This window comes from Homo sapiens, chromosome 11 (genome assembly GCF_000001405.40).
Source record: "Homo sapiens chromosome 11, GRCh38.p14 Primary Assembly".
Classification (NCBI taxonomy): domain Eukaryota; kingdom Metazoa; phylum Chordata; class Mammalia; order Primates; family Hominidae; genus Homo; species Homo sapiens.
Genome location: NC_000011.10, coordinates 26540479 through 26557338, shown reverse-complemented (window position 1 = coordinate 26557338; position 16860 = coordinate 26540479). Strand labels below are relative to the sequence as shown.

The window sequence follows — 16860 nt, the reverse complement described above, 5'->3', positions numbered from 1 at the left end:
CAGGCGCCCGCCACCACGCCCGGCTAATTTTTTGTATTTTTAGTAGAGACAGGGTTTCACTGTCTTAGCCAGGATGGTCTCGATCTCCTGAGCTCGTGATCCGCCCGCCTCGGCCTCCCAAAGTGCTGGGATTACTGGTGTGAGCCACCGCGCCTGGCTTGTTCAACATTGTTAAGATGACTAGGCATAATATATAAAGAAGGTAGCAAACTTAGCCTAAAAGCTTGATTTAAGTACAAATTGTCCATTTTCTTTGACACCTGATTTCTCTTGAAGAACTGAGTGTGACTACAAATCAAAAAATGTGGGTACTGTTAAAGAGATATATATCTGATTAGGTTGGAAGCTGAAAGTCTATGTTTTCTCCATGATACCTGCTGGGTCTTGTTCTAAAGTTGCTTTATAGGTTCAGAAAAACATAAGGCTCTGAAAAATGCCACTTATATCCCACTAAAGTCTCTCCAGGATAAGGAGAACAAGGTGCCTCCTTGGCAGATTCAACCATGTATGCAGAGCTATTACTGGAGACTTGGAGGGCAGGGAGTCAGAATTGAAGCTGAAGGTCACTCCCTTTCACTTCCTCATTCCTTACCTCTTGGGCAGGGTAAAACCTGAATAACCATTTTATTTGCTGGACCTGGGCAGAAGCTACATAAAAAATGCAGTCTTGATTAGACTATTCTCCACGTATCTTTTAAAAAATTTGGTCCTAGAAATTAGAGTCACCTGAGGAACTTGTTAACATAGAGAGTTTGAGGCCTCACCCTTGACCAATTGATTCTAAATTTCAGGATACGGGGTCCAGAAATCTGCTTTTTTAACAAATGTTCTAGATGATCTGATGTACAGTCTTATACAGACTCCTTTTTTTTTTTCATGAAGTTTCTTGAAAAGAACAGCTTCTCTCCTACTTCTGTTGTAACCTCAAATCAGTATACAGTCTGAGGTTCATACTGGGTATTGAGTACATGTTTGTTAAACAAGTTTTTTTTTAAAGAGAAAATTATTATGAGTAAGACTTAACTTCAAGGGGTTGAGTCATTTTTCAATTATATGAAAAACAATTTAGGACCTCTATCTAATTATTTCACCTTAAATGAGAATTCCTAGCATCACAGGGTTTGATAATGTAGTGTCAGTGCATTTAAATGTGTGCAAATATCACTAAATTACTTAATTGCAAAAATATCCTAATTCCAATACTTTTAAGTACTAAAATAAAAGTAGTCATGAAAGGAAACATTAATGTACTTAAATATTAATTTTTATCATATGATAGGACCAGTTATTTTCCATGCAAACATATCACTGAAATTATAAAGGGAATAATTATATGTACACACATGGCCTTTTCAATATAATATGGAAAATTTAATTTATTTTTCTTTGTCACAAGCAGTAATGGATTCTGTAAGGAACTGAATTGAGAAGTCCCTAGATCATGTGTCCAGATGATTTTGTTTCTAGATGATCCTAGATTGGTTGGCTTGTACCTTTGGCAAAAATCTGCTCCCTTATATCTGATTCTACCCATCAATAAATTATTAGCTATTTAAATTCAAAAATATATAGTAAAATAGACTGTTGATTTCCATCCAATAAGGGAAGAGGAACTCTTATTTTTAAAGTATAAAACAAGTAGCTACATTTTATCTTAGTCAGAGGAACAAATAAAAGACATTTCATCCTAGTGGGTTGTATTTCTTGTATTCTTCCATAAGGCAATATTCTCCTTTGCAAGCTAACTTTTCCACCTTCCTTATACATGTTATTAAGTGAATTCTTTGTGAGTCATCCCTGTCCTTAAATGTACCTTTCTCTGTTCAGAAAAGAAGAGATGTATTTACTGCATGATGACAAAAGCAACCTAGATGTAGTGTTTCCTTGGACGGCTTCCTTACTTTATCACTCTGCCATATGTGGATATTTCTTGTCTTCAGTGTTAAAATAATGCCAATGTGTGTTATTAGATATGTCCAAGTGAAAGAAGAAGTATCTGGATTTTTTTGGCATTCCTAGGCTGTTTTATGTCTAAAATCATAGGCTAGGAGAGAGACATATGTGTATACATCTAATAACTCTTAACACACTTGGTTCTTGCCAAAAGTGATGAGAAAATGCTGCCTCCAAACAAGATAACCATGTTTCTAAGTCTCTATCATCTTTATGGAACATTTAAAAGAATGAAAAACTAAACATTTGTTCTGAAATTAAAGTATAAACGAAACAGACTTTTCACATGTTCTTCATTCAAGATAAATCAGAAACTAACTTTACTAAGTTATGTTCTTGTAGTAAGGACATTGAGTGGCTTTGGATTTTGCACCCAGCCTTGTCAAAATTAATTGTATGGAGACCTCCACTCTGGAAAAGATGGAGTAAGAGGGATTGATTTTATCCCTATGCTGGAAACACCCCCAAAATGCACAAAATGTATAAAACAACAGATTACAAGATGGTAGACATCAGGCAAAAAAGGGCAATGATCCCTGAGAGACGGAAAACAAACAACGCTCACATTATTACTCCTCAGATTACTGCCTTGAAGAGTTCCCAGGGTGTAGAGAAGAATAACCTAGGCAGTACTCAGTGAGTATGTATGCAAGGAAACCATCTGTCAAGGAAAGCACCACTTGAGAGACTGGAGTCAGACCAGCCACTGGGAGCCCTCATTATGCACAGTGACTTGGGTAGCGTACACAGAAAGAGCATTAGAATTGTTAAAATTCATAAAGATTGACCACACCGAGGCTCGGTGACTACACAGAAAACTGGAATTCTCATATACCATGGGTGGGTATGTAAAAGATATAAACACATGGGAAAAGTTTTGCTTAACAGGGTTTTCATAGGCTAACCATATACCTATCACATGATCCAACCAGTCTACTCCTAGGTAATTACCCAAGAGAAATGACAGCATTTGTCCATATAAGGACTTGTAGATGAATGTTAATAGAAGACTTTTTTAAAATAGGCAACAATTTGAAACAATCCAAAATTTTGATAATAGGTAAAGAAATAAACAAACAGGGTATAGATATTATGGAATAATGTTCAGCAATAAAAATGATCTATTGATAAATGCTACATTATGAATGAATCTCAATACATATGCTGTGTGAAAGAAGCCAGAAAAAAATACATAAATACACAGGATTCAATTTACACAAGAATCTAGAAAATACAAATTTATCTATAATGACACAAAGCAGGTGGCTGCTAGAGCACAGGGGAAGGTCAGGGAGGCAGGGATTGAAAGGGCGTGAGGAAAATTTTGGAGAGGATATGTTCATTATCTTGATTATGCTAACGGTTTCACAGGTGCACGCATATAACAAAATATATCAATTCATACACTTTAAGTAGGTACATTTCATTACATGTTAATTACACTTCTATAAAACTGTTTTACAAACGAAAATAATAATGTAGAATTCAGTGTTTCTTAAACTTGAAGGAACATTGAAATCACCCAGGAAAATTTGAAATACACCGATATTCATGTTCCAATCCCAAAGATTCTGATTTAATTGTTCTGGGGTTGATCTGAGCTTCAGGAGTTTTAAAAGCCGTTCAGTTAATTCTAACAGGCAGCAATTTGGGGATTTTTTGAATGTTATTTCATTTTCTCCGTACCGATAGAAGTATTTTAACTTCATAAGTTTTCATGTAACGTACACATTTAGTAAGTAGCAATAGAAGTAATTGTTTGCTAAAAAGAATCTAGATATAATTACATGTGGAAGTTTATGTTTATCTATGGTGGCAAAAATCAGTTATAAAAACAAAGGAAGACAAAAATGTTCAAATAAAAGTATACTCGCTTTCTAATTGCAATAGACTGACATTTTATTCAGTTGTCAATGGCACTTATTAAGGTTGAAACTCTTGAGAACACTTAACTTTGGTAAAAAGCTATTGACTAGAGGACTTCTTACAGCCTGCTTCTCAGTACAGCTCAGGGAGGAGAATGTGAGGGTCCACACTCACCTTGGCATAGATACAGCTGTCGTTGAGTCTCTGCAGGGAGCAGTTCTTGTCACAGAGAGGGCACATAAAGACTTCAGTGGCTTTACAAATTTCTTGGCTTGAGAAAAAACAAAAACAAAAACAAAACAAAACATAGCATGAAACTGTGACTAAGAATTCACTTAGCCCCTACAGCAAATCCTGTTGGAACCAGCAAGGCAGAGAGGAAAAGGAGAAGAAATGGGAATAGTGGGGAGTGGTGGGCACTGTGGTGTGACTCCAATTCAAACACTTTAGAATATTTGTGATGCAAAAGTTTGGGATTCCTTCTTTAATTTTAGAAAATGCTGTCAAGATAATTGTGTGATAAATGGTGAAACTTTGTCTACAATGACACTTTTATACATGATTTCATGGCACTCAGGATAATCTTGTGCGGTATACCAATGGAGTTTTAGCCAAACTCGCAGGCTTGGAAGTGGCTGAGATGGAATCAAACCTATTTGGTTTTCTCAAGTCTGGTGATCACACAATTTATAACACCCACTGCAGTACATATTGTTGGTGCAGAATGTTCATTGGAGATTAAAATAATTGCTTTTTTATGTTTGCTTGTTGGGTTTTTTTTGCAGCACCTTGACATACACTGTCACAATGACATGCCATAGTTTATATTTATGTAAATATGTTCTCTAATAGAATGTAACTTTATGACACATCTCTTCAGTTTTATGTCCACTGCCTTTAAGAAAATTTCTCAGCATACATTTTAGATGACTTTGTGACAGCACTAACACATCAATAACAATTTCCGAAGAGCCTCAGACTCACAGTTCTCAGCAACTTATTTGCAGGACGCTTTGTGCCCTTTCCTCTCATACATGGCCCTTTCCCATTTAGTATCCCCTGAATTAACTCTTCTCTAGAAATGTTGAAAGGAATTTAAAGGCTTTAGAAAATGTGTCTGGATTCAGCTCTTAATACAAGTTTAATTGGCAATGTTTACAGCAAGATTTGTTGTTTTTACACATTTGTACTTGAACCAAAAAAAAGAATGCGTGTGAATTTCCATGTGTATTTCAAGTATGGGATGTATATAATCTCAAGCCAAAGTGGGGATCAATAGTAAGTAATGATACCACATAGTAACATGATGCTTTACAGCGGGCAAAGATGATTTTATGTCTGTCAAATTGTTTAGTCTTCACTCCAATCTTGGGTAATGGCAATTATCTCCAGTAAAAAGAGAAAAACAATGTTCAATTTAAGGAACTTGCTCAACATTATAGAGCTAGCTAGAGGTACTTCAGGGACCCCAAGCTTAGGTTTTCTGATTGTAGATCCAGTTCTCCATCAACTATATCTAAAAGAGAGATACAGTTTGTTTCATATTTTAAGGGAACTTTTCTATCAAGTAATAATTTATTAGTGATCACGATGATGAAATGGGTCTTACATATACTATAGCTCTTCTACTTTCACACTCATCATCTTACTAGTAATCAGGATGTCTACATAAAGTAGGAGAAAGCAGGTAAACTACACATTTTAAAAACCAAAAAGAAAGAGAAGATTATATCTCCTCTTATGTCAATACTAGTAATTTGTAGGAATAAGAACTATTAACACACTTCTTGAAAAAAATTGAAATGAGCTTTTTAACATAATTCATTGTTTCACAAATGATACAATTTGTCCTGCTTTAGAATCTTATACTAAAAAGGTATTGAAGTTTGTTTATATGACATAATCTTTCTCAATTTCCAAATGGAGTCAATCAAAAGCTCAGATTTATTGAAGCACCAAGTCTAGAATTCCAGAATCTTTTTACTGCTAGAATCATTACATTCATTTTCTGAAAGTTACTCAACATTCAACTTGATACATGGTACACAAAAATCATCACAAAACTTTTGACATTTTTTAGTCTAAAATATTTAAGAGTATCACAAGTTTCTTTGACTTTACTTAACCACTAGAGGGAGAGAGAGTTCCCATCATGAGTGTTTCTTAATTTCTTTTGCAGTGCTTGACAATCCAAACAACCACTCAAATTGTGGTTTTCTTTTGTTTTGTATTTATTGCTAAATATACACATCAAGTGTGATTCCAAAGAAATAATCATTACTACCAATTAAAGATAAAAGTAGCGATAAATTTTCTATATGGAGGTGGATGTTTGGACCCACTCACTTGAGGGTTCTCATGCTTCCTTATAATCCAGCTAACATGATAAAGAATGGAAGATAAAATATTTGCTTTGTGGTACACATTTTTGGGGAAAAGTGTGAAACTAGGTTTAAGGAAAACCAGTAGGGCATTATGGATAAATCATTGCTTTTAAAATCAGACATAATCATCAGAGAAATGCAAATCAAAACTACAATAAAAAATCACCTCACACCTGTTAGGATTGCTACTACTCTTTTAAAGAGTAAGTATTGGTGAGAATGCGGGGAAATTGTAATCCTGTACACTGCTGGTAGAAATCTAAAATGGTCCACTGCTATGAAAAACAGTAGGGAGGTTTCTCAAAAAATCAAAAATAGAATTACCATATGATTCAGCAATCCCACTTCTGGATACATATCCAAAAGAAATGAAATCATGATCTGGAAGTGCTGTCTGCACTCCCACATTTATTTCAGAATTATTAAAAATATCCAATATTTGGAAACAATCCAAATGTTTATTGACTGATGAATGAAGAAAGAAAATGTGGTATATATGTGTAATGCAATATTATTTGGTCTTAGAAAAGAAGGAAATCCTGCCATATGTGATAACATGGATAAACCTAGAGGAAATTATGCTAAGTGAATTAAGCCAGTCACAGAATAACCAATACTGAATAATTCAACTTATATGAGGTATATAAAATAGTCAAACTTATAAAAAACAGAGTTAAATGGTGGTTGCCATTGGCTAGGGGAAGGAGGGAATGGAGGGTAAAACGGATAAAAAGTTTCAGTTATGTAATATGAATAAATTCCAGAGAACTGCTGTATGACATTGTGCCTGTGGTCTATAATACTGTCTTGTGCACTTAAAAATTTATTAAGGGGGTAGATGTCACTCTGTGTTCTCATCACTAATAAATATTTATTAATAATCAATTGATAATTAAATATAAATTAATAAAACATTAATTAATTGTGTTAATTTATTTCTGTAATAATTATATATTAATCATAATCATATAATTGTTAATACTGTTGATAATTTTAAAAATCAGAAATAGGCTTGAAACTTAGCTGACCACTTACTAGATATATTGCCTGACAAAGTCATTTTTTTTTTAAAGGATCAATTTCTTCATCTTGTATGGGGATATCTAACTGGGATATTAGATTAAAAATTTTTACAATGTACTTTACACATTACAGGGACTTGATAAATGGAAGAAGCTTATTGCTAAGGACAGTGTCAAGAGAGGGCTTGGAAATCCTCTAAGAAACGACTTTTAAAAATCTGGTCAATATTGAGAACCACATTAATTTCTTGGTGAGTTCTGATGCTGAAGAGGCAATAATAGGCCAGAGAGTTGGGGCTTCAGCTCTGCTTCCTGGTTTCTGAAACCCAGGGCCTTAAAACCAGGCCACACGTGTCTGCCTGTTCATTTTCAAATTCCTGTATCTTTTCCCAGGCACAGATATGGCCATATTTGATTATGTAAGACCAGTGTATACATGTAAATATATACATGTATGTATATACAATCATCTAAAACCTGATTGTTATATACTTCTATAATTAAGTGCAGGGCAATTGAGAAACATGATCTTAATTTAGTTGGACATAACTTGTAGAAACATGATCAATAGAGCCACATCTGCATCTTTGGAACATTTTTCTACCCTGCAACAAGCAAAAAAGAGTTTAATAAAATTATGCTAACGTAAGTCCACACAAAATAAAAGCTTGCTCTCCTTCCCCCACCCACCATGATAACACCTACAACTCAACCACGTCTGACACCTTGAATGGAAAATTTCAGTCCCCAAATTTTCAGTCAAGATATTCAGTGCTGCTTATCTTGGTTTAGAATAGAAAGTCTGACAGGATCTTAATTATAGTGTGACAGAAGTGGGAGTAATATAATGCCATACAACACTGAAGAAAAGAGTTTACTAATGCCTTTTAGAACACTCCTTGTACCAAAGGTTAGAGAATAATTATCTCATACAAAAAGAGCCTAATTTACTCTATTGGTATATAAATCAATAGAAACAGCAAATCTATTCCCTTCATTCCTCTTTGTTCATTTTCAGCTTTGTAGTGGTGGAGTGGGGAAGTCTGTATCATATGCTAACATTTTGTTAATATGTTCTCCACGGGACCAACTTGAAGAGTAGCTGTTGAAGAATCATTTCCCATATTTTAAAATTTATCTTAAAAGTGTTTTTTTTTTTTTTCCAATTCATTGTAACTCTAAACCACAACCTTTCTTCTGAGCCCCGGATGTTACTGATACAACAGAATACGGGGAAATGCCGAAAAGGAGGATGGATGTTTCCGGTGGGCCGAAGTTTGTTCAGGAAGATGCTACCTTGCAGGATGGTAGTGAGTTTGCAAAACTCTGAAATAAACCCAAGACTAGATGAAATGGGTTTTTGCAGTAGGTGTTTCTTTGTTTTCATGCTATCTATCTTTTGGCATTCATGAAGAACAAGGGGACTTTGAGATATCAAATCAAGCAACTTGGTTATTGAATAGGATTTAATTCTAGGACAATAAAGCTGTTTTGTTTTTAAGCATAATTGTTATACTTATACATACATATACATATTATATTTGTTAAAGAAAATTCAGGGAAATTAATTGTTATGATCTCATGAAGCATATAACCTTAGCATTAACTGTCATGTTCAGTATTCAGTAGCAAGGCCATGGTTAAAAAATGGACCAAAAGAGAAGAAAGCATTGAGCTTTGAAAGAAAGGGGAGAGATATTTTTCATATTTTTAATTTTACCATACAAAGTCAAAGTTGATAATATACTCGTGATATATTAAATAGAACATGCTGTTAAGATTATTTAATGCTAGGGTGACTCTTGTCCTTGCTGAATAACAATGTGCTGTTCCTATTTCCAAATCTCAAGTCACTTCAACTTTAACAGAAGCATCACCATTTTGATATATGTTTGACTTTTGTCAAATCCGATTTCACTACCATTCCATATCTTAAGTGGATGCTAAGTAAAATTTATAAATATTTGTTCCTCCAGAGAGTAATAATAGGGTAGAAAGTATGTTACGTTTTGTCACGTACTCAGGAGAGTAGAGGAGGTTGCTTAGAGCAGGACTTATGTGGTATAATTGTTTTATTTAGACATCTTTAAGTATATTAGGTTCCCTCATGTGCAAAAAGAGCTATGCATCTCCCAGGGTGGTAGTGAAGGTTATAGCAAATGAAACAAGGTATTTGGAAGGACTTTGTAAATTATAAATTATAGCTTTTATAATGATTTGAATGAATATATCAAGAGGGCATTCTAGACTAACAAATGCTATGCAAATGTAAATCACACAAAGCTATCAAATTTTTGAATTATATGGTATATACTGGAAAGAGGAATTTTACATAAACATTCTTAGAAATTACTCAAGATAGTTTGCAAATAAAAGTATTAAAATGACCTTTTATAATTGTGTTCTCTTCCTACCAAAAACAAAAGCCAAAAAACAGAAATAGCAAATAAATTAAATTGTAGTATCATCAACCATTTGATTTTTTATAGTCAGCATTATCATTAAACTTTTGCCCATTCAGAAGACAAGCCAAATATTTTTAATAGGTCTCTTAATAGCCTACCTTACTTGACTATTATTCATTGTAAATAATCCATAGAAGAAAACGCACAAACCAACAATTGCTGCAGGAATCAACATTCCAGTATACCATCCCAGCCAAGCAAAGTATAGTCCAATCTTCTCACCAAAGTATAGCCTGCATGAGAAAGCAAATCCTTAGACTGAGTTAAGGCAACATAAGCAATATTACAAATATTGATGCCACACCTAGTCAGAATTTCAGATGGTAACTTGAAGCTACACTCAGTTCCTCCTCAGCTCCATCTAAAGTATCTAATACTCCTGCTTGTTAATTAATCCAATGATGGTAATGTTGTTTATTTTTAAACATTTTCAATATGGGGCAATTCTGTCACATGTATTTAGGTATATGCCATACTTCTTAACATGCTCATAAACCTGGCTTTTCTCCATCTTCCTACTAGCATCCCTTTTCATTTTTTCACATCACAGAGCTGCTCTAAACCATATAGCTTTCATGAAAATTAAGAAAAGGTCTCCCCTCTGGGTGGGTGCTGAGAGCAGGTTAGTTAGATTTCCCTCTCCATCTGCACCCTTCACCAGACACCCTTATGCTAGACACAATGTGCACCATTATGTCACATCTTCCTCAACAAAGCTCAACTCTGCAGTTTCCAAAGCACATGGCACTTACCCTGGTTAACGCTGTCCCTAAACTTACAAAAATGTATGGTAATTACCAGTCATTCTTCCATTCCTTTTCCTCCCTATACGATTGTAAGCTGCTAAAAGGTAGAGCTGTGTGTTGCTTCACTAGTACCCATCGCAGGAAGTATCGAAGGATGCTAAGAGAGTTAATGCGTTTAATTCCCCTCTAGTTGATGAATATCATTTAAATTGAAATGGCAGAGAAATAAGGCAGCTCGAATAACTACTCAGTTGCGCTTTCTTCACCTAACCTACTGCCGGTATTAAAGGCCTGGTTAAAAATGATAATTTCCTGACTTCTTTACCACTGTTTGGTCTCCATCTTCTAAAGACGGTTACTTAACACACACAGTTTTGTTCCTGCAATAAAGATGGGCACTTTAAAGTTCGTTTGGGCATATTGCACTGAGCAGTGATTCTTGATAAGAAGAAGATTCTCTTGTCATATTTCCTTAACAAGCCTTCTCTTCTCTGAAAACTATTCTCTTTCTGCTTCATTCTCTGTGTTGTGCCAATTAAATCTTTTGCATATTCTACTGGGTGCAGACCTGGAATAATCATCTGTCAAGCATCACTTCTCCAATTTTTTCATTTTATTTATCTCTCTCTCCTAGGAAACCCAGATCAATAGAACATTCATTTCTCATACAATAATAGTATTCTACTGTGAGATGGAAACTTATTATATTAATAGGTATTGAAAAAAAAACATTTGTTTGTTTGAACAAGTGTTCCTCTGTGGGGTGGAGCAAAGTTTTTAGCACATGTTACTAACACAGTAGAGGACCTTTATGATTTTGGTGACAGAGGGTTGCACAGACAAATCAGCTGATATAGACAGTATTATCTATATCAGTATGATATAGATAATGATATTTTAAATTACACATTGTTGAAGGTTAAGAGAAGCAACAATATTATTTGGCGAAGTATAGTCACCTAAGTAAAAGTAGATTTCAGATCTGTGTCAGGAGAAGAAGGAGCTGGTGCCATGTAAAAGAGGCTAATGAAAAATGTCCTTGCCTTAGAGCACTGGTACTCACAATCTTCTATGATTCCTGTGTTCCAAATAGAGCAAGGAGGAAGAGGGAGGAAGAGGGGGCTGCTACTGGGTAACTCCCCATCACACATCAACCACAGCTCTGTTTTTATCTGTTTTTTTTTTTTTTAATATTTGTGCCTTGTGTCATATTTCATTCAATGATATAATTCTGCTGCTGAAATAATTTCTATCATACAATGAAACCATGTGGAAATCTATGCTTTTAGAATTGTTTCCTTCAGTGACATTGTTTTCAAATACAAATGTCTCCAATACCTATTGTGTAATTTTTTAAATTGCCATACAAGAATTTTGCTAAGCAAGTTTTATAGCTGATGATTTTGAATGTGTGCTCTTTTTAGTTTCAAATATTTTTCATGGAAAAACAGATTGCAACTAAAATAGGCCTTAGCTACAAAATGTTTAAATTTATTTTTAAAATGGGAAAAACCACAGACACATGTCCAGAAATGGTTATTTATATACAAAAGGAATTGCCTGTATCTGACTTTCCATCCACTACTAAGGAACTACTTTATTCAGCATGAGACAATACAGGCTGTGCCTATGGGTCTCCATTATCCATAACCAAAGAGTATAAGGAAATTCAACTCTGAACACCCTCTTTCTCTCACTACAGATAGGAAGCAACACAATAAGAGATGCATGTCCTGAAAAGTGTGTGGTTTTAAGAACAACTTACTCAAAATAAGTAGTTACAAATTTTAAGACAATCTTTCTTCTGGTTGTAGAAAAATGGGGCTTGTAGAAAATGCTATGCATAAATAGTTTAACATCCATGTTTGTCTCATTACCATCTAAATTTTGGTAATACAAGTTAAGTTCCTAAGGGGTAAAAACATGTTCAAATGCCATCTATACTCTTTCATAAACTTTCTCTTGGGTGAGTATTTCATCACAGACTCCTTCTCTTAGCCACTTAAAGGTAAAAATATAATTTTTTAAGAAAAAAAATCCTCCTATGTCATCAGCCAAAGAAGTGGTAATAGTAGCTGAATAAACCTATTTACTGAAAATAAAGGCTGCTTGCTGGAATTACCTGAAGAAGCAAGAGTAATGTCTTCTATAGATGAGAACTTATACTTTCTGTTTATTTTTTGTCAACAAAAATTGTACATATTTATTGCATGTGTGATGTTTTGAAATATGCATATAGCTTTGAATGACTAAATGAAGTTAATTAACATATGCATTACCTCACATATTTATTCTTATTTTATGGTAAGAACATTTAAAATGTACTCAGCAATTTTCAAGCATAAAATACATTATTATTAACTATAGTCACCATGTGGTACAATAGATCTCTTGAACTTATTCCTCCTATTTAAACCAATTTTTGTATCCTTTGACCAACTTCTCCCCAACCTCTGCCTCCTCTCCACCCCTAGCCTTCGGTAACTACTATTCTACCCTCTGCTTCTATGAGTTCAACCTTTTTAGATTCTACCCATACAGGAGATTATGTAGCATTTGTATTACCTTGGCTTACAGGTAAAGAAAATATGGTTTATATACATATGTGTGTGTGTGTGTGTATGTGTGTATATATATATATATATATATATGTATAATGAAATACTACTTAACCTTAAAAAAGGAGAAGATCCTGTCATTTGCAACAACATGGATAAGACTGGAGGACATTAACTTTAGTGAAATAAGCTAAGTAAATGTAACTATTGACACTAAAATGTGTGCTCGCAAATCCTAACTTCATTTTAATTCCTAATAGATATAGCTTGGTGAACCAGCACATTTCACTATGTTCATAATATCTAAAATAATTCTCCCATCTGCATAAAATAAAATCTGATCATTTCTTGTGATCATCAGACTAAGAAATAAAACATCTTGGTTCTGAACATACCAAAACACTTAATGTTTGAAATTAAAAGCGTATGTTTATTGTGACACTATTCACAATAGCAAAGACTTGGAACCAATCCAAAGGTCCATCAATGATAGACTGGATTAAGAAAATGTGGCACATATACACCATGGAATACTATGCAGCCATAAAAAAGGATGAGTTCATGTCCTTTGTAGTGACATGGATGAAGCTGGAAACCATCATTCTGAGCAAACTATCTCAAGGACAGAAAACCAAACACCACATGTTCTCACTCATAGGTGGTAACTGAACAATGAGAACACTTGGACACAGGGTGGTGAACATCACACACTGGGGCCTGTCGTGGTGTGGCGGGAGGGAGGAGGGATAGCATCAGGAGATATACCTAATGTAAATAACGAGTTAGCAGGTGTAGCACACCAATATGGCACATGTATACATATGTAACAAACCTGCACGTTGTGCACATGTACCCTAGAACTTAAAATATAATTAAAAAAAAAGAAATTAAAAGCGTTTGGTGGTGGATGTTTACCCTCTGTGTCTCCAGATCCACATTCTACTTTTTTCCTTTCATTATAGGCACTAGGAGGTCTACCTCTATGGACTCTATAAGCTTTGTTCCCTCCCATTTTCTTCTGGCTTCCTGATGGGTTTGTTGAACCACTGAATGTGCCAGCAGGAGATCAGAGGGCAATATAAAACAGATGGGGTTTATTACCCTTGCTTCCTCTTTCTTGGGCCATGGTTTGGCCGTGGCTGTCTTCTTCCTAAGGTCATAGCTTGTTTCAGATGACCCATCCTTTTTATGGTATAGATTTTGACAGGTTCTGCCGAATGCTTTCTCCCCCTGCCCCTTCAAGATCTAGGTTTGATAGCAACTTCCAGCTGTGCTGGTCCCTGGGAGCTTCCTCATCCGTCACTGTCTCCCTTGACCCTGGCTTATGCTTCTGTATATAGTTCTTTTATTAAATTCTCTACAAGTACCCCTTTCAGTGTCCATCCGTTTTACACTGGGGGCACTGACTGATTCAGCTGTGATTTATTCTTGATGTTTATATTTCATAAACAGCTTAAAATATTAACATATATTAATATAAATGGTCTTTTTCTTTCATTCTATAAATATAGTTAACTAAAGACTTAAGTCCTTGTTAATACAGATTTCATGATCTCTAAAAATAAAAAACAAGTTATCCTCCATCAAAATAAATGATATAAATCGTGAATACAACAATATTTCAAGACTAGTTCAAGTTGAAGGCAGTTACTAGAATATGCATCCTGAAGTAGAGTAGATCTTTGTTGAACAGTAAATATATACAAACATGTGAAACATGTGTTAGTCATTTTTCTGTTTGCTCTTAGATCCACTTTCTGGCTTTTTTTCTTTCTTTCTTTCTTTTTTTCGGTTTGGACATTTTAGTCAGGTTTTACTCTAAATTACTTCTGGTTAAGTTGAGCCAGGAGGTACTAGACCACTCAAAGGTAGAAGGAAGAGATAAGCCAGGACCATTTTCCCTCTCTATGCCCTCTCCATGGCTCCATCCTCCCCCTCACTTTCACCTCTCTGCTGGAAGCCCTAGCAATGGTACATAAGTATTGGGCTCTGGTAATATGTTTTTATTCCAATTTCTCTCCACCCTTAAGGGGTGTTAGTAATTTTTTGCTGTTGCTCATCCCTTAGACACCTTGCAAAGCCTGTTTGATTTCTCAGCTCTCCCATCCCCTGTATAACCAATTACCTACAGTGAGATTCTTTTACTGAAAAATCTTATAGTGGTTGCTTTTTTGTAGACTGCATCCTCACTGGTGAGCACAATAAATAATTCCAAGTCTAAGACAATGACACAAAACAGAATACTTTGCTTTTCATTATTGTTCCATTTGCAGTACCTGATTAAATCCAGAGGCTGATGCTTATACCACATTCCCCAGCGTGCCCAGCGCTCATATAATAGATGTCTGTTATTCTGAGGTCCATGGGTTTTAATGGGCTGGCTACTTTTGTAGGCTCCCTGCAACAGATAAAGTAAGATACATTTGGTTCTATTTTTTAGTGAAATTTTAACTGAGTAAGAACTGTATTTTCCCTTGCAGAATAATTTAACAACTTATTGAAAGCTTCAAAAATGATAAACTTAAGCCCATCGCTGGAATGATGTGATGGATGCCTTTACATATCTTTCATTAAAAATAGTCCGATAGTTATTAAAAATCTTTTATTAAATTACTTAAAAAATACAATGGAACCCATTTAGCTTAAAGTAAAGTAGACTCTAGGCTTCACTGTTTGGAATTTAAGGTCTTTTAATAAACACAATATCTTCACCATCATTGAGAGAAATTGTGATAATCTTTAGTTCAGAATTTCAGGGCATTATTTTGTATAAGAAGTGATGCAGTTCCAGGAAAGGTTTCTTCCATTTTTATAAGCTAAGGAAGAGAGTAAGTGTTCATTCAAAAAATATAAGAGGCCTCAGCCACCAGTGCTAGTCAGATTTTCTTCTCTCTTTTTTTATTATAATTTATGTTCTGGGATACATGTGCAGAACGTGCAAGTTTGTTACATAGGTATACATGTGCCATGGTAGTTTGCTGCACCCTGCAATCTGTCATCTGCATTAGGTATTTCTCCTAATGCTATCCCTCCCCTACCTCCCCACCCGCGAACTGGCCCCATTGTGTGATGTTCCCCTCCCTGTGTCCACGTATTCTCATTGTTCAACTCCCAGTTATGAGTGAGAACATGGGGTGTTTCGTTTTCCGTTCCTGTGTTAGTTTGCTGAGAATGATGGTTTCCAGCTTCATCCATGTCCCTGCAAAGAACACGAACTCATCTTTTTTATGGCTGCATAGTATTCCATGGTGTATATGTGTCACATTTTCTTTATCCAGTCTATCATTGATGGGCATTTGGATTGGTTCCAAGTCTTTGCTATTGTGAATATTGCTGCAATAAACATACGTGTGCATGTGCCTTCATAGTAGAATGATTTATAATCCTTTGGGTATATACCCAGTAATAGGATTGCTGGGTCAAATGGTATTTCTGGTTCTAGATCCTTGAAGGATCGCTACTCTGTCTTCCACAATGGTTGAACTAATTTACACTCCCACCAACAATGTAAAGGCCTTCCTATTTCTCCACATCCTCTCCAGCCTCTGTTGTTTCCTGACTTTTTAATGATAGCCATTCTAACTAGCATAAGATGGTATCTCATTGTGGTTTTGATTTGCATTTCTCTAACGACCAGTGGTGATAAGCTTTTTTTCATATCTTTGTTGGCCCCATAAATGTCTTCTTTTGAGAAGTGTCTGTTCATATCTTTGCCCACTTTTTGATGGGGTTATTTTTTTTCTTGTAAATTTGTTTAAGTTCCTTGCAGATTCTGGATATTAGCCCAGATCAATAGATTGCAAAATTTTTCTCTCATTCTGTAGGTTTCCTGTTCACTCTGATGATAGTTTCTTTTGCTGTGAAGA

The 16860-nt window shown here is 35.1% G+C and overlaps 1 protein-coding gene across 6 annotated transcripts in view; it reads right to left on the bottom strand.

Moving 5' to 3' along the window:
* ANO3 (anoctamin 3) overlaps window positions 1–16860 on the bottom strand; it is a 474482-nt gene that overhangs the window by 105951 nt on the left and 351671 nt on the right. For all 6 annotated transcript variants that reach the window (NM_001313726.2, NM_031418.4, XM_047427399.1 and 3 more), the window contains 3 exons: window positions 15271–15392; window positions 9789–9923; window positions 3994–4090 (listed from right to left, as the gene is read on the bottom strand). In NM_001313726.2, coding sequence (NP_001300655.1) covers window positions 3994–4090; window positions 9789–9923; window positions 15271–15392 — 354 coding nt within the window. The remainder of the gene's footprint in view (window positions 1–3993; window positions 4091–9788; window positions 9924–15270; window positions 15393–16860) is intronic.